Source organism: Homo sapiens, chromosome 12 (assembly GCF_000001405.40).
Source record: "Homo sapiens chromosome 12, GRCh38.p14 Primary Assembly".
Taxonomy (NCBI): domain Eukaryota; kingdom Metazoa; phylum Chordata; class Mammalia; order Primates; family Hominidae; genus Homo; species Homo sapiens.
This window is the reverse complement of record NC_000012.12, coordinates 40,072,436-40,090,744: the sequence shown is the minus strand read 5'-3', so window position 1 is coordinate 40,090,744 and position 18,309 is coordinate 40,072,436. Positions and strand designations below refer to the sequence as shown.

The window sequence follows — 18,309 nt, the reverse complement described above, 5'->3', positions numbered from 1 at the left end:
GGAAATCATGAATGTTGCAAAAGAAACACATGACTTTGTTACATTTGTTTGGTAATTATGCAGTTATTTATTCATCTGTGCAAGAGATCATTAGAGTCTGGATTATTTTCAAAATTTTAGTTTCTAAATATGACATGCATTTTCAAATAAACATGAATATATATTAAGAATACAGAATTATAGTTATTAATAAGCATTAAAACTTTGCCTATGGATAGCTGCTGCTATGGTTAATAGTTACCTTTTATTTGCTTTAAGTGAACATCTGGCTACTTAATCTAACTCAAAATGATTTATAGACATAAACTCAAAGCCACTGTCAGTAAATTTTTCTTTATTTTTAAGCAGTCATGAAGATAAGATACGCAGAGATAAGCCATATGAGCAAATAGTGCCTTAATTGTTAAAAAGGGAATGAATTCTAGGAATTAAGATGAATAAACATGACTAGTTTCTAGCAAAATTATAAAATATTATTAATGAAGATTTGGAAGCATTTAGAAAAGAGTCTGATGATTACTAGGAACTTTTGTGTGTTCACTAGAAATATGCCTTATTAAACTAATCTCTTTTGTTTTTCCTTTGAAACCATTTCTTGGTGAGTAGATTAGGAAAATTCTGCATATAAAGCATTTGGCATACTCCTCTTTCATTGAATATATTTGAAGAACATTTTCTTTGTGTTAATAAACAAAATAAGTGAGCAAAATAAACTTTAATCTCTGAAATTTGGCCAATAAAAAAAAAGAAGCAAACATGGTTTAGTAGGATGCCTTGTCAGTGTTGAAAAGTGGGCCCAGAAGGTCTCTACTGGGGTGCAATCAAGCGCTCAGTCCTTCAGCTCTGTGCTTGTCAAATCCAGGGAGCCCAGAGCAAGCTAAATGGCTGTTATGCTTGATAACAGAGCTAATATTAAAAATAACTTTAAGATACTGGAATGCTGTTAAAAACTAAGAAAAGTTAAAATTCATAGGAAATGTATTTATAATATGTATATCTCCATATATTTTACATTTTAAATATATTTGCATTATTGCCGTTAATCCACTCTTAGAGCTGACCAACAGTGAGACAGACTCCTTACAGAGAACACTAGGAGAGAGTTTACAAAGTCTATACAGGGAGGCGGTCAGTGTAAGGTGCAGGGTGACCTTTGTTGAGGAGATGAAGAAGTCTTCCTTGTATTCAGAGCCTGACTGAAGGGCTTCTCTAGTCCCGCTTGATTCTAAAATTCTCAAGCTTCTTTATTGATTACAATTGAGAAATGGTTTCATCAAAGCTGCCAGAGAATTTGTCCCCTGAAATGGAATAAATCATCTGAGATCCTCAAGATTGCAAATTACTAAAGAGGAAGACAGTGTCTCTTTTTTTGTAACTTCTATGAGAGTTCAGTAGATGTTGGTTGGCTCACTGACAACACCTGAGTTATTCTATTTGATTACTTTTGGCTTCTGACTTTTACATTATCAAATTCACTTTTCTTGGATATATTTTAGGTCTTTTGTTATGAAATCAAGAACATTATGTTCTTTTTACAGAGAGAGTTTATAAAGTACGGAGATGACCACTCTGAAAGCCATATGCCCCTAGCACCCTCTGAAGCACCTCAGTCCTCTCCTGACTCTTTCAGTGATTCATTCTGCCATTTGCATGATTCCTCTGAAGAAAACCAATTATTTAGTGTTCTTGAGGTGATTGACTTGCAAATAATCTTGTGCTCTTAAAGCACATTTTTGGTAAATTTTCAAATTTCTGAATACTAGAAATTATTTCTTTAGTTATAATTGAGTGAGATCAGATATTCACAGACTAATAGACTCTCAAAACCAGTGGGTGCTGCCTTCATACCACACATTTTACCATGCTAGGATAAACATTCATCTTCAATTTTTTTGTTGTTAAAAAACATACTTCACCAAGGAATTTATTATCCCACTCATTTTATCACATACCTCTTCTGGAGCTTAGGGTCTCAGCCCCTTCCTGTCTCTTCTTTTGTGTCTCCCCTGCTACACCCCTACCACACTTTGGTGTTTTTGAGGTTTCTTAATCTTAAGTAAAGTGTGAATAAAAAGCATTTTTAGAAAGTCTTACCATGTTTATTGATCTGTAACATGCAATATACATACTGTGCTTGCTGTATTAACACAGCTCCAAGACAAGACCCCTAGCTTTTCTACAGCTAGACTAACTCCCCCAAATCCCACTTCTGTAGAGCTTTGGAGCTGCAGCAGCTGTTGAGGTAATGGTTACTTTCCTCAAAAGGTAGCCATTATGATGACTGGCTTCAAAAAGTAAAAAAAAGGTCTTTTGAAAAATTGACAGTTCTCCCCACAAAGAGTTGAGTGACTGGTCAGCTACAATTTCTTCTAACTTGTAATTCCTTCTAATATATGATGTTGAGGTTTTAGAGAGAGCAGTTAAAATAAAGTGGTCTAATTAGACAGTGTTTGCATCATCTTTTTCAGTTTAGATGTTGAGGAAGTGTTCAGATCCTACCAAGCAATTTTTTCTTCTTTTGAGTGAGAACTGTCTATACTTTTGTACTTAGTGTCTTTACCTGTCCCCCTTTTGAGCTTTATGTCTTAAAGAAATGTTATGCCATTTACTCCTTTTAATAGATTAAACTTATTTTCAGGTTATTGAAGAAAACCTGTCTCACAGAATCATAAGACAAACTGTATGAAACTCTTGGAACAGTGCCTGGCACATGGTAGTATACAGTAAATGTTATCTGCTGTTTCATTTTAGTTTTAACATATCTACCATGCACCTGCCTCAATGGAATAGTGTAAAAGGATATTTATACTTACAATCAGTATAAATTATAGTTATTTGTACTTATAATCAGTATAAATTATAGTTATTTGTACTTATAATTAGTACAAATTATTTAATTTATACTAGTGAGTTTTATGAATTTGTACAAATTAACCCCTTCTGAGCCCTAGGTTTCTCAGCTTTATCCACTTCATGGTGGTTTAATGAGTATTAAGTAGTAGTACAGAAGGTTAACTGGTACATGTAACCTCCTGGTAGTGTTGGCTTACTCTGGTCTCTTATGAGGTAAGAGTTCCTTAAGGACAGGGACCATGTTTTTGTGTTTATCCCAGGATCTATCATAGCCTCTGGCACATAGTAGATATTTATTTAGTAAATGCTTGTGGGTTACATAAATGGGAGCATTGGGAAGGAGAATGAACAGAAGAATGTGTAGAAATTTTTCTATTGTAGGTAACACTCTTCCAGGAGAAAAAGGTTATTTGAAAGCCACAGGGGTCTTAAAAACTCAGTTTTTTCATTTAAAGCTTAAAGCGTTTTGATATTTACTTCTAAAGTATTACAACTAATATGACCATGACTGATGAATGGAAGAAACACAGAGGGGTATAGACTGGAAGAGAAAGGAGAGAGGGAGAGAAAGACTAAGAGATTTAGTGAGTACTATGAAAATGTTAAACTCTAAAGTTACACTCTTGAAAGTAGCTTCAAGAGTCTTAGCTCAATTATCAGGGGCCTTTGGAAAGCCAAATAGGTGATTACCTTTATTTTAAAAATTACTTGCTTTTAAGACTTTGAAGGATCCTTTCTGAATGGAAGATACAGCCAAAGGTGGTAGTGAGAGGTATGGAAGATTGAGGAGGATGTGTGTGGTTGTGTCTTCAGTAACCAGAGCAAACGGCCTGAGATTAGAGGAAATCAATCTGAGGACTGGGTACATTTTGTCCACTTTCACTGTCAGAGCTACCAAGCAATTGGGAGGTAAGGTTGTAGAGTTGGTTTTGATGTCCTGTCTCAAGACCTAATTATGCCTCTTGGGATTAGGTGAGGAAAATATGTGTCCTGGGACTGGCCGTTGGTAACTGCATTAGAGAAAATGAGCTTGACAGGTCTCCCACAATTTGGAGATTTCTCCAGAAACATACTGCAGTATTAGGTCCAGGGAACAATCCTGATCTGCCCTTGGTTTAGAGGCAACACATAATCGCACTACCTATCAGTTTAGTCCTGACGCCTATGAATGCCCAGTTCTTCCTTGTCATTCAGCTTGTGGATAGGAGACAACAATGCATGTCTTGTTTCTTCTCGTATTTGTAACTGATTTGCTTTTAAGACTGTCTTGTCTGAATTGCCTTCTGCTGTTGGTGTAATAAGAAAAAGCATGTGGTGTATTTAACCAATGGGGGAAAATATTTCTTATATATAGAGATGAAATAGACATGTAGCTAGAGAATAGGCGAGAATAGACATGTAGCTTGTTTGATGGCCCATGTCATTTCTCAGATTTACTGCTGTGTTTTTCTTAACAGCTGGTTACAAAAACAAGTGGCACTAAAGGAAAAGACCATATTTTCTTTTATCATGGCCACAGGTGTTTATTTTTATTTATTTTTATGAGTATATAAAATGAAAAGTATTCAGATTAACCGGTTATTCAGAGAGGTGATATCAGGTGGGGAGTAGTGGGATTAAAAAAAAATACCCTCCCATGCCACCTGCATTCTGATTGCCAATGCATCCGTGATTGGTGCCTTGCTCAGCATCTCCCAGGTGCCATCACTTCAGAAGTTTCCCAGATTTTGCTCTTTCTTAGAAGGCAGCAGGGAGGGCCAGGCACGATGGCTCACACCTGTAATCCCAGCACTTTGGGAGGCCGAGGCCGGTGGATCACGAGGTCAGGAGTTCAAGACCAGCCTGACTAATATGGTGAAACCCTGTCGCTACTAAAAATACAAAAATTAGCTGGGCATGGTGGCATGTGCCTTTAATCCCAGCTACTTGGTGGAGGTTGCAGTGAGCTGGGATTGTGCCACTGCACTCTAGGCTGGGTGACAGAGCGAGACTCTGTCTCAAAAAAAAAAAGAAGATGGGAGTAGCAGAAGGAATGCGGGACGTGAAATTGGAAATCCTGGGTCCTGCTTTCAAATCTTTTATGTAAATATGTGATTTTAGATAAGTCACTTAATGCTTGAGCTTGCTTTCTCTTCTGTAAAGTACAAGTTATATGTAAAGTTCCTTCTAACATAGCCATTTCATTGGCCAGATAAGAAAGAAAAAGGAGTACTGTCATGATCTGCCACCTACTTAGGCCCCTTCTGCAATGTGAAATGGACACTGTGAGTATAAAAACATACTCAAAAGTATATTTTTTAATTCTCTCACTCAACAGTCAACACAAAAGACTTCTGTGACCAAATGTGGGGGATTTCTCCCCACTAACAAGCAATCAGTTTTGCAGCAGACACCAGCTGGATGTCCTCTAATTCAGTTCTCACACTGTCACCCTAGAAATAGCGTCTGATTCCACAGGTTGAGGGCACAGTCCTCAAGACCTGCCACCACCCCCAATGCCAACAGCCTTCAGACACCGGTTGCAAATTTGGGTCTCTGGAACTTTGACCAACCAACTACTTCAAGTTGGAGTTTTTACAACACCTTTTTTGGGTTATATTAATTTTCTAGGGTGGTTCACAGAAATCAGAAAACAGTTTGGTTTACTGGTTTATTTCAAAGGATACAAACAGATAAAGAGATACATAGGGCAAGACTTGGAAGGGTCCTGAGCACAGGAGATTTTGTCCCTGTGGAGGTGGAGTCCTCCACTGTTGGTACATGGATGAGTTTTTGTTCCCTTCCTGTCAACCTCCATATGTTCATCTGTCGAGAAGTGCTCTGAACTCAGCCCTTTTCACCTTTTAAAGAAGTGTCATAATCAATTATATCATTACCTAGGCATAATTGATTAAACCATTGGCGACTGGTTACCAACTTAACCTTCAGCTTCTCTCCCCTTGTAGGTTGGGGGTCCCAACCATCTAATCCTGCCTTGGTTTTTCCAGTGACCAACCCTTATCCTGAAGCTGCCTAGGGGCTACCAGTCATCTGTCAACTTACTAGCATACAAAAAGACATCACTTTGCAGAGTCTAAGGATTTTAGGAGTTGTATGCCATGAAACAAGGGTGGAAGACCTAATAAATATTTCACACTATCACAGACAGCAAGTGGAGCATCAGGCCTTAAGAGGAGTCCTCAATCCTAGTCTCATACATTTACAAAATGCTAAATACATAACATGAATTCATTTAAAAAAAAATGAAGCTGTAAGCCCAGTGCTGCCTTATAGTATAATTTTTTACATTTACCCTAAAAACATTTTAACTTTCAATAGAATGCTCCATTGGATTTGGTGCTCAGTCCTGGACAACTCTTCATTTCCAGTGACCTGACTTAGGTTGAATTTTGTTATTTGAGCCAGCCCCGTGAGTAAGCTTGGCTTGCTGGCTATTTGTGTGTTTCTTGTTATTTAAGACATCTTGCTGAAGTTGAAGAGTGCAGTCTTTGAAAGAGTGCTTTTTAATGGAAAACTGTTGCATTAAAAAGTGGCTTTGTGTTTTTATAGACCACACAATTCTAAGCCAAATGACACAGTTTCAAAATAGCTATTGATGGATAGAACACACAGGTAAGTACTTGAGAGCCTGGTGGCAGAAGTTGGAAGTATTTGTAAGAAGAAAGCACAGCATGAGCCAGATCTAGAGTTTCCTGTTTGATCATTTTTTACAATATCTTAGTATAGATTTGCAGTTACCCTGCCAGATGTGTACTTCATCTTTTATTAGACACATTCAAATATATCAGTTAAAGAGCTTTTGGTTCAGTATCTGATATTCGGAGCATTTATTCTAATATTGCCTTTTACTGCCTCCCAAATCTATACTTGTATTGGTACTGTGTACAGTAAAGGTGAATGCATTTTAAAGTATAATGAATGATACCTGGTGTTGATCGAAATGGGGTAAGTCTTCCACAGCCTGTCTCTCCACTGATTACAACCAAGAACTCTGGAAATAATGCAAAATGCAGCTGAGGATTCTGAAAAGTAAACAACAGCAGGAAGATTGGGTAGGGAAGTCAAAATTTGAAGACCTACTGGACTGGCAGTGAATTTACTGTTTGTATCATCTTTTCTTTCTTAATCTCCTGGCTTTTACCTTTGGAGGGGTGAGTCCCAGGACTGCTCATTGAACACCAATGGCAGAAAAGCCCAACAGAAACCCCCTCCTTCTAGTCAGAAGATTCAGAATAGGGACCCTTGTGAGCCAGAAGATATGGGAGGAGTTCCCCATCCTTTTTTTCCTTTTTCTCCTTGCCCTGCCTTGAGGCCAGCCCAGTTAAAAACCTGCAGTGCTGCAGTGGTGATGGCAGTAGTATAGCACTATGGATGCTGAGATACAGCCCTCTTTCTGTACAAAGGAAATAGAAAAGGGATCCCTGGGGTCTAGAGAGTGTGGGAGGGAATCAGTTATTTTTTCTCTGTAGTTTCCCTTGCTGGTATGCTGCAAGGACAGTCCCAATTATGTGGAACTGAAAAACAGTGTAAGGGATTAAGTTCTAAGAGAAAATCCTGGTTTTATGCATAGCAGATTTGGAAAAGAGGACCCTAGGGGCCAGAGGGGTCAGGGAAGTGGTGGAGAAGAGAGCTGAAAAAGGGGATCTTCTGTTTCTGTGTATAAGCTGAAACAAGTCCTGAGCTCACCCCTAAGCAGCACATGCACAATTCAGACCCAAAGGGGCACAGCAAATGTTTTGAGTACAGAACTGTGACATAAGGTACTACACAGTCCCAGTCTATCTCCTGAGTAATCTGAATAACATAGCTATTGAAAATTGCTATTTAACAAGATGGCTGACTAGATGCAGACAGGAAGAACTTCTCCCACTGAGAAACCAGACCATCAGGAAGAACTGCATACTCCAAACAGATCTTCAGAAAGAAGGTATTGAGAGTAGACAGAAGAAGGATACAGACCCCGGGCTGAAGTGGGGGAGGAAACCCTGCATGGAGTTGCTGAGCACCAGGACTTATTCCTGACCCTGAGCAGCTCCTGGGGAATGGGCGAGTGAAATAGGCTTGGAGTGGCCCACTCTCGTTACAGACCTCTAGTATCTTCACTGCAGGAGACCCCATAACCCCTATGGATATTTGAGCTGGCAGAGACAGAACTCCAGCTTGCATGGATCCCCAGGGGTCTGGCGTGGGAATGGCTGCAGTGGAGCATAGTCATGGGTGCTCATCCTTCAAGGCCCACTGTACTCCTCTAGGTGGCTTTAGCCTTTTTGGCTGCCAGACCTGGACAGAGCATATCTTGCTCATGGGAAGGGGCCTGTCTGATCTGAGTGTCCCCCTATTTGCTGGCCTATCCCAGGGTCCCTGCCTGGCCACACCTGCTTGCAGCATGGCCTTGGTTGCCCAGCTGAGGCACTTGCCGGCAGCTACTGCCATAGCTCTTTTGTTAGAATATCCATCCTCACAGAGAGCTTCTGTAGGAGTTGTAACTGATTACAACTCAAAACTCTGGAAATAATGCAAAATGCAACTGAGGATTCTGAAAAGTAAGCAACAGCAGGCAGATTGGGTAGGGAAGTCAAAATTTGAAGACCAACAGGTATGGCTGAATTTACTGTTTGTATCATCTTTCTTAACCTCCTGGCTTTTAACTTTGTAGGGTTGAGTCACAGGATTGCTCAGTGAACACTATGTGTACATGCCGTGTGCATGCTAACCTCACTACCACACTGTCACTGGTGCACACATGTGCAGGGACCCCTGCTGCCTTGCCGAAGCCCTTTTGCTGGCAGACTGCATTGGAGTGTTACCAGCAGACTGGGAACACCTCAGCCCCTTCAGCACAGCAGGAGCTTAACCTCAAGGGGCCAGAGAAAAAAGGCTGTGGGCCTGGTCCCAGGTCCCCAGGGTTAGAGCACACAGCCTAGGAATGCTAAGCTGAGCCTTGGCCCCCTGCAATCATCCAGACATGAAGCCAATCAATTTATACCCAGCTTATACCACTGTCAAACCCTCAAGGGCATCAAAGAATATAAAAAGCAAAAAGCCCTATATGAAGGACAGCAACTTTAAAGATTAAAGAAACATCATCTCACACAGATGAGAAAGAACCAGTGCAAAACTCTGGCAATTCAAAAAGCCAGAGAGTGTCATCTTACCTCCAAATGACCACATGAGCTCGACAGCAAGGATTCTTGATTGAAATCACTGAAATTATGGCATAGAATACAGAATTTGCATGGCAAATAAGGTCGTCCAGATTTAGGAGAAAGTTGAAACTGAATCCAGGGAATCTAAGGATTCCAATAAAATGATACAGGAACTGAAAGATGAAATAGCCATTTTAAGAAAGAAACTGTTCTTCTAGAGGTGAAAATCTACAAGAATTTCATAATACAGTCAGAAGTATTAAAGCAGAATAGACCAATCTGAGGAAAGAATCTCAGAGCTTGAAGACCAGTTCTTTGAATCAACTCAGTTGGACAAAATAAAAAAAATAAAAATGAACAAAACCTCTGGGAAATAAGGGATTATGTGAAGAGACCAAACCTACAACTCATTTACATTCGAGAAAGACAGAGAGAGCAAGCAACTTGGAAAACGTTTTTGTGGATATTGTCCAGGAAAATTTCCCCAACCTCACTAGAAAGGTCAACATGCAAATTTGGTAAATTCACAGAACCTCAGCAATATACTACAAGATGTCCATCTTGAAGATAGATAGTCATCAGATTCTCCAAAGTCAATGTGAAAGAAAAAATATTAAAGGCAGATCAAAGAGTAGGGGCAGGTCATATACAAAGAGAATCTCATTAGGCTAACAGCAGACCTTTCAGCAGAAATCTTACAAGCCAGAAGAGATTGGGGGGCTTATATTCAGCAGCCTTAAAGAAAAGAAATTTCAACCAAGAATTCCATTTCCAGCCAAACTAAACTTCATAAACAAAGGAGAAATAAAATTTTCTTCAGACAAGCAAACACTAAGGGAATTCATTACCACCACACTTGCTTTACAAGAGATGCTTAAGCAAGTGCTAAAAATGGAAATGAAATACTATTATCTGCCACTATAAAAACACTTAAGTACCTAGCCCACTGACACTATAGAGCAATTATATAATCAAGTCTGCATAACAACCTACTAACAACATGTTGACAGGATCAAATCTTAACATCAATATTAACCTTGAACATTTTAAACAAGGCCAGGTGTTGTGGCTTATGCCTGTAATCCCAACCCTTTGGGAGACTGAGGCAGGTGGATCACCTGAGGTCAGGAGTTCGAGACCAGCTGGGCCAGCATGATGAAACCCCGTCTCTACCAAAAATACAAAAAAATAGCCAGGCATAGTGGCACATGCCTGTAATCCCAGCTACTCAGGAGGCTAAGGCAGGAGAATTGCTTGAACCTGGGAGGCAGAGGTTGCAGTGAGCTGAGATGGCACCACTGCACTCCAGTCTGGGTGACAGAGCAAGGCCCCCTCTCAAAAACAAAACAAAACCTTGAACATAAACAGGATAAATGCCCACTTTGAAGGCAGAGTGTGACGAGTTGCATAAAGAAGAAGACCCAACTGTATGCTACCTTCAGGAGACCATCTGAAATGCAAACCCACTCATAGGCTCAAAGTAAAGGGATGGAGAAAGATCTATCAAGCAAACAGAGCAAGAGTTGCTATTCTTATTTAGAAAAAAATAGACTTTAAGCCATCAATGGTCAAAAAGGACAAAGAACCCAGGTGCGGTGGCTCACACCGGTAATCCCAGCACTTTGGGAGGCCAAGGTGGGCAGATCACCTGAGGTCAGAAGTTCAAGACCAGCCTGGCCAACATGGTGAAACCCTGTCTCTACTAAGAATGCAAAAAATTAGCGAGGTGTGGTGGTGTACAGCTGTACCAGCTACTTGGGAGGCTGAGGCATGGTAATCACTTGAACCTGGGAGATGGAGGTTGTAGTGAGCTGAGATTGTGCCACTGCACTCCAGCTGGGTGGCACAGAGTGAGACTCCATCTCAAAAAAATAAAAAGGACAAAGAAGGACATTACATAATGATAAATGGTTCAACTAAATAAACAGTCTTAACTATCTTAAGTATATTTGCACCCAACACTGGTGTGCTTAGATCAATAAAACAAGTTTGTAAGAGACCTATGAAGAGACTTAGATAACCACACAATAATAATGGGAGACTTCAACATGTCACTGACAGTGTTAGATCATCGAGGCAGGAAAGAAACAGATACTAGGGACCTAAACTTGACACTTAACCACATGGATCTAAAAGACATCTATACAATATGCCACCCAACAACAACAGAATGTACATTCTTCTCACCTGCACATGGCACATACTCTAACATTGACCACACATTTGGCCATAAAGCAATTCTCAACAAAAACAAACACAAAACCCTACCAACCAGTCTTTCAGACCTCAGTGCAATAAAAATAGAAATCAATACCAAGAAGATCCCCCAAACTGTACAATTACTTGGAAATTAACCTGTCCCTGAATGACTTTTGTGTAGAGTGAAATTAAGGTACAAATCAATAAGTTATTTGAAATTAATGGAAACAGATACAACTCACCTGAATCTTTGGGATGCAGCTAAAGCAGTGGTAAGAGGAAAGTTTATAGTGCTAAATGCTTACATCAAGTTAGAGCTCAGATTAACAACCCAGCATCACACCTAGAGGAACTAGAAATACAAGAGGGAGCCAACCCTAAAGCTAGCAAAAGAAAATAACAAAAATCTGAGCTGAACTGAACAAAAACCACAGGTGAAAATTCATATAAAAGATTGATGAAACCAAAAGTTGGTTCTTCGAAAGAATGCATAAGATTGAGAGACTGTTAGCTAGACCAATAAAGAAAAAAGATCCTAATAAACACAGAGATGACAAAGATGACATTACCACCAACCCCACAGAAATGCAGAAAACAGAACCCTCAGAAACTATTACGAATACCTCTATGCACACCAACTAGAAAACCTAGAGAAAATAGATAAATTCCTGGAAATGTAAAACCTCTCAAGATTGAACTAGGAAGAAATGGAATACTTGAACAGATCAATAATGAGTTCTGAAATTGAATCAGTAATAAAAAACCTACCAACCAGTAAAAGCCCTGGACCAGAGGGATTTACAGCTGAATTTTATCAGATGTATAAAGAAAAGCTGGTATCAATCCTATTGGAACTTCTAGAAAATATTGAGTAAGAGGGACTCCTCTCTGACTCATTATGAGGCCAGATCATTCTAATACCAAAATATGGCAGACACAATAAAAGATGAAAACTTCAGGCTAATATCCCTGATGAACACAGACACAAAAATCCTTAACAAAACACTAGCAAATTGAATCCAGCAGCACATCGAAAAGCTAATCCACCACAATCAAATAGGCCTTATTCCTGGGATGCAAGGTTGATTCAACATATGGAAATCTATGTGATTTATCACATAAAACTGAAAACCACATGATGATCTCAATAGACACAGACAAGGCTTTCAATGAAATTCAACATTCCTTCGTGTAAAAAAACCCTCAACAAAGTAGGCATTGAAGGAACAAACCTCAAAATAATAAGAGCCATTTATGACAGACCCACAGCCAACATTATAACGAATGGGTAAAACCTGGAATCATTTTCCTTGAGAACCAGAACAAGACAAGGATGCCCAATCTCACCACTCCTATTCAGCATAGTACTGGATGTCCTAGCCAGAGCAATCATGCAAGAGAAAAGTAAAAGTCATCCAAATAGGAAGAGAGGAAGTCAAACCATATCTATCTACAGATGATATAATTGTATATCTAGAAAACCCCATACTCTCTCTCCAGAGGCTTCTAGAATTGATAAACAACTTCAGCAAAGTTTTAGGATACAAAATCAATGTACAAGTATCAGTAGCATTTCTATACATCAATAACGTTGAAGCCGAGAGCCAAATCAAGAATGCAATCCCATTCACAAAAGCCACAAAAATAATAAAATATCTAGGAATACAGCTATACAGGGAAGTGAAATATCTGTGCAATGAGAATTACCACACACTGCTAAAGGAAGTTGAAGAGAACACAAACAAATGGAAAAACATTCCATGTTCATGGATAGGAAAAGTTAATATTGTTTAAATGGCCATATGTCCAACTCAGTTTACAGATTCAATGCTATTTCTACCCAACTACCTATATCATTTTTCACAGAATTAGAAAAAACTATTCTAAAATTCATATGCAACCAAAAAAGAGAATGCATAGCCAAAACCATCCTAAGCTAAAAGAACAAAAGCCAGAGGCATCATCCTACCAACTTCAAACTATATTACATGGCTACAGTAACCAAAACAGCATGATACTGGTACAAAGACAGACATATAGAGGAGTGGAACAGGTTAGAGAACCCAGAAATAAAGCTGCACACTGACAACCATCTGATCTTTGACAAAGTCGACAATAACAAGCAATGGGGAAAGGATTACCTATTTAATAAATGGTGTTTGAAGAGCTGGTTAGCCATATACAAAAGTTTGCAGCTGGACCCTTTCCTTTCTTCATATACAAAAATCAACTCAAGATAGAACAAAGACTTAAACATAAAACCTAAAACTGTAAAAAGTCTAGAAGGAAGCCTAGGAAATACCATTCTAGATATAGGCCATGGCAAAGATTCCATGATGAAGACTCCAAAAGCAATTGCAACAAAAATAAAAATTGAGAAATAGGATCTAGTTAAACTAAAGAGCTTCTACATAGCAAAATAAACTAGTGTGAGTAAACAGACAACCTTCAAAATGGGAGAAAGTATTTGCAAACTATGCATCCAACAAAGGTCTAATATCCAGATTCTGTAAGGAACTTAAATCAACAAGCAAAAATCAAACAGCCCCAGTAAAAAATGGGCAAAGGACATGAACACTTTTCAAAAGAAGACACACACAGCCAACAAGAATATGAAAAAATGCTCAACATCATTAATCATTAAAGAAATGCAGATCAAAACCATGATGAGATAGCATCTCATACCAGTCAGAATGGCAGTTATTGAAAAGTCAAAAACAAAAAGCATACGAAAAACATGCTGGAGAGGCTGTGGAGAAAAGGAAACACATACAGTGCTGGTGGTGGTAATGTAAATTAGTTCAACCACCGTGGAAAGCATTGTGGTGATTTCTCAATGTAAAACAGAACTACCATTCGATCCAGCAGTCCCCTTACTGGGTATATACCCAAAGAAATATAATTCGTTCTATCATAAAGACACATGCAAACATATGTTCATCACAGCACTGTTCACACAGCAAAGACATGGAATCAACCTAGATGTTCATCAATGGTGGACTGGATAAAGAAAATGTACATATACACCATGGAATACTACACACTATAAAAAAAATCAGATCATGTCCTTTCCAGCAACATGGATGCTGCTAGTAACATTATCCAATGTGAATTAATGCAAGAACAGAAAATCAGATACTTCATGTTCTCACTTATAAGTAAGAGCTAAACACTGAGTACTCATGGATGCAAAGAGGAACAGTAGACCCTGACTGGGCTTATTTGAGGGTGGAGGTTGGGAGGAGGGTGAGGATCAAAAAACTACCTATCAGGTACTATGCTCTCTACCTGGGAGATGAAATAATTTGTACACCAAACTCCAGTGATGTGCAGTTTACCCATGTAACAAACCTGCACTTTTAAGAAAACATTTTTAGCAGGACCCAATGAAAACATAATATCCAACATGTTCAGAATATAATGCAAAGGCACTTAACATAGAGAATCAGGGAAATCTGACAAGTTGCTAAGGGAAAAGATAACAGGTGCTCACTACAAGATGACCCAGATGGTGGATTTATCACACAAAAACTTTAAATTGGCTTTGGTAACTGTGATCCAAGAGATAAAAGTGAAAACACTTGCAATGAATGGAAAGATAGAAGTTCTCAACAGAAAAACACGTACTTTAATAAAGGACTCAAATGGAAAATGGATTGATTTAATGGCAGAGAGAGATGAAAAAAGTGAGTGAACTTAAGACAGATAAATATAAGTAATTCAAACAATAGAAATTACCTAAAATAAGAGGGAAAATGGAAAAAAAATGAACCAACTCTTAAGGACTTGTAGGACAATATTTGGATTTCTAACATTTGTGTCAGCATAATGCCAGAAGAGGAAAAACAAATATCTGAAGAAAAAATATTTAAAGATACAAGGCCTGAAAACTCTCCAAACTTGGTGAAAGACATAAACTTACAGATTCAAGAAACTCAGCAAACTTCAAATGGTATTATTTCAAAGAAAGCCATGCCCAGATAATATTATAATCAAATTGCTGCTAATGAAATTGTTGGGCATATCAGGAGCTTGTAGTCACCAGTCTGCTCTAACAGGTAAAAAATGGGACAAATTGAAAAATCAGCAGTTCTTCCTGGACCTAAAGAGAAGTGAGGTCATAGGACAAACCACTACCCCCAAAACTGGAGAGGCAGGTGGATACAGCTAACCATAATTTACTTGAGTGATAACCAATTAACAAAGTCTTCCATGGGAAACATTGCTTGTATAGGAAAACCTGCATTATAGTTGACAAATTGCTAGAGATTCACTGTGGACAAATCTTAGATTTTAAAAACTCCAGGAGGACCTAGTAAGCAGAAGTGGGTGGAGGGGTCTTCCACTCTTATGAATTTCACCTCTTGCTGCTCTACCAGGTTTTCACAGTGAATATTTGAGAAAATTTCCCTTTGCTTCTGGCACAAGGAAGGGAAAAGGAGCCATTTTGAAGTATGCCAGAGTACTCTGTTTTGTTTTGTTTTTAAATGAGGTCTGCTTCAGAAAAAATTAGTTAAAACACAGTGTAAGTGGCCTGGGGTAAGCAAAGCACCCAATTCTAGTTCTCTCTAGCCTTTTATTTGAGAAAAGGGGAATATTAAACTCCTCTACCCTCTAGCCATTCTGTTCCAACTAAGAGAGAAGAGAACTGAGAAGCACTTGTGAAGTTCCCAGTCCAGAGGCACAGCCTCACTAAAGCTTGAGACCTAATCATAACACTGTAGAGTGTTTCTCCTTCTCCTACACCTTACCACTTTATTACTGACAATGTATTTATATCCGTTAACCAGTGTGTCATGTCTGGCTATCAAGAAAAAAATGAGAAGATACAGTAAAAGGGGGAAAAATGGGCTGAAGGAAGAGACAGAGCAAACATCAGAATCAAACTCAGATATGTCAGGGGTTCTGGAATCATCAGATTGGGAACTGAAAACAACTATGAATAATAAGCTAAGGGCTCTAATGGATAAAATAGCTTGCAAGGACAGATGGGTAATGTAAGCAGAGAGATGATAATTCTAAGAATCTGTAAAAGAAATGCTAGAGATCAAAAACACTATGCCAGAAATGAAGAATATGGGGCTGGGTGCAGCAGTTCATCCCTGTAATCCCAATGCTATGGGAGGCTGAGGCAGGAGAATCACTTGAGACTGGGAGTTTGAGACCATCCTGGGCAACATACTAAGACTGCATCTCTACAAAAAGTTTTAAAAATAGCTGGACATAGGTGGTGCATGCCTGTAGTTCCATCTACTTGGGAGGCTGAGGTGGGAGGATCCCTTGAGCTCAGGATTTGGAGTCTGCTGTGAGCTGTGATCACACCCATGTCCTCTAGCCTGGGTGACAGAGCAAGACTCCGACTCAAAAAAAAAAAAAAAAATGTCTTTGATGGGCTTTAATAGACTGGACATGGCTGAAGAAAGAATGTCCAAGCTTGAGGATGTTTTTAAAAGAATCCTCCAAAACTGAAAAGCAAAGTGAAAAAATACTGGAGTAAACAAACCATAACGGAATATCAGAACCATGGGGACAACTACAAAAGGTGTAACATACATATAAAAGAAATATCAGGAAGAGAGAAAGGAAAAGAAGAAATATTTGAAGCAATAATGACTGAGCATTTCCCAGCCAAACCACAGATCCTACAATTTCCTAGTTGACAAAGCAGAATAAATGGCAGAATAGCTATGTGAAGGCATGTCATTTTTAAACTACAGAAAAATCAAAGGTAAAAATCCTGAAATAAGCCAGATCATAATAAATAATATTATATATTATCTATATAATAGCAAAGATAAGAATACCTTTTTCTCAGGAACAGTGCTAGCAAGAAGAGAGTGGAGTGAAATATTTAAAGTGTTGAGAGAATGAAGCCCTACCAGTCTAGGATTTTGTACCCTGTTAAATTTTTCCTTCAAAAGACAAGGATAAATAGAAAATTGCTTAAACAAAGGAAATTTGTTGCCAGTAGACTTGCCATGCAAGAAATGTAAAAAATGATATGTCAGAAACTCAGATCTACGTAAGAAAACATTGGAGAGAAATAAATGAAGGTAAAATAAAACTTTCATTTTTTAATTAATCATTGATCTGAGACAACACTTTATTGAAAATAGTAGCAATAATGCCTTTGATTATGTGTGCTTGTCTATATATATACTTGTCTATACTTAAGCACATATATACATGGTTTGTTTATGGTTCATTTCCCCCCAGTATTTTTTCTCCTTGCTTTTCAGTTTTGGAGGTTTCTGTTACATACATATATCCTCAAGCTCAGAGACTCTTTCTGGTGTGTACATGTGCTTGTATGTGCATGTGTGTGTGTATATGTTTATGCTTATTTATATGTGAAATGCATGACAGAAATTATACAAGGGATGGATGGAAGGAATTAGCATTATTTTGCTATTATAAGGTATTCATACTACTCATGAAATGATCTAGTGGCACTTGAAGGTGGACCTGAATTAGTTGTAAATGTATATTGCAAACTCTAGGGCCAGCACAAAGAAAAAGTAATGAAAGCAGTATAACCAATGTGGTGAGAAAGGAGTGAAGATAAAATCACGTAAAATGCTCAACTAAATCCACACAAGGCAGAAAAAGGGTGAATGACAAAAATAAGAACAAATAAATGAAAACAATAAATATGGTAGACTTTGATCTAATTGTCAGTAATCACTTCGAAGGTCAGTGGTCTAAATGTACCAATTAAAAGGCAGATTGCAGGAGTGCCTATAAAAACAAGACCCAACTTTATTGCTGTCTATATGAAACTCTTTAAATATAAATACACATGGATTAAAAGCATGGGAAAGATATGCCATGCTAACATTAATCAAAAGAAAATAGGATTAGCTATATTAATTTCAAACAGCAGATTTCAGAGCAAGTAAAGTTATCAGGGATAAAGACACATGAGTTCTATAATGGTAAAAGTGTTAGTTCTCCAATTTACCTTATGTGCCTAATAACAGAGTGACCAAATTCTCAATGCAAATACTGGTAGAACTGTGAGGAAAAAATAGATGAATCACTATTATAGTTGGAGACTTCATTACCCTTCTATCAGAAATGGCCAGATTTAGCAGGCAGAAAATCAGTACAG

At 38.4% G+C, this 18,309-nt stretch overlaps 1 protein-coding gene and 1 long non-coding RNA gene across 8 annotated transcripts in view, besides 1 other annotated feature; one reads left to right on the top strand and one right to left on the bottom strand.

The window, feature by feature from the left end:
- Window positions 1–18,309, top strand: part of SLC2A13 (solute carrier family 2 member 13) — a 351,057-nt gene that overhangs the window by 15,337 nt on the left and 317,411 nt on the right. The window lies entirely within an intron of this gene.
- Window positions 2,980–3,149: an enhancer, noted in NCBI's record as "experimental_28378 CRE fragment used in MPRA reporter constructs". NCBI's record gives its function as "activates a minimal promoter by MPRAs in K562 erythroleukemia cells, with activity observed for the non-introgressed 12:40481483 variant allele {active_cell/tissue: K562}" and the evidence as "EXISTENCE:reporter gene assay evidence [ECO:0000049][PMID:34662402]".
- LOC112268095 (uncharacterized) lies at window positions 5,610–18,227 on the bottom strand. Its single transcript, XR_002957410.2, has 3 exons — window positions 18,160–18,227; window positions 6,779–6,875; window positions 5,610–5,693 (listed from the first exon to the last, which is right to left on the bottom strand). It is a non-coding gene; the product is annotated as an uncharacterized LOC112268095 (long non-coding RNA).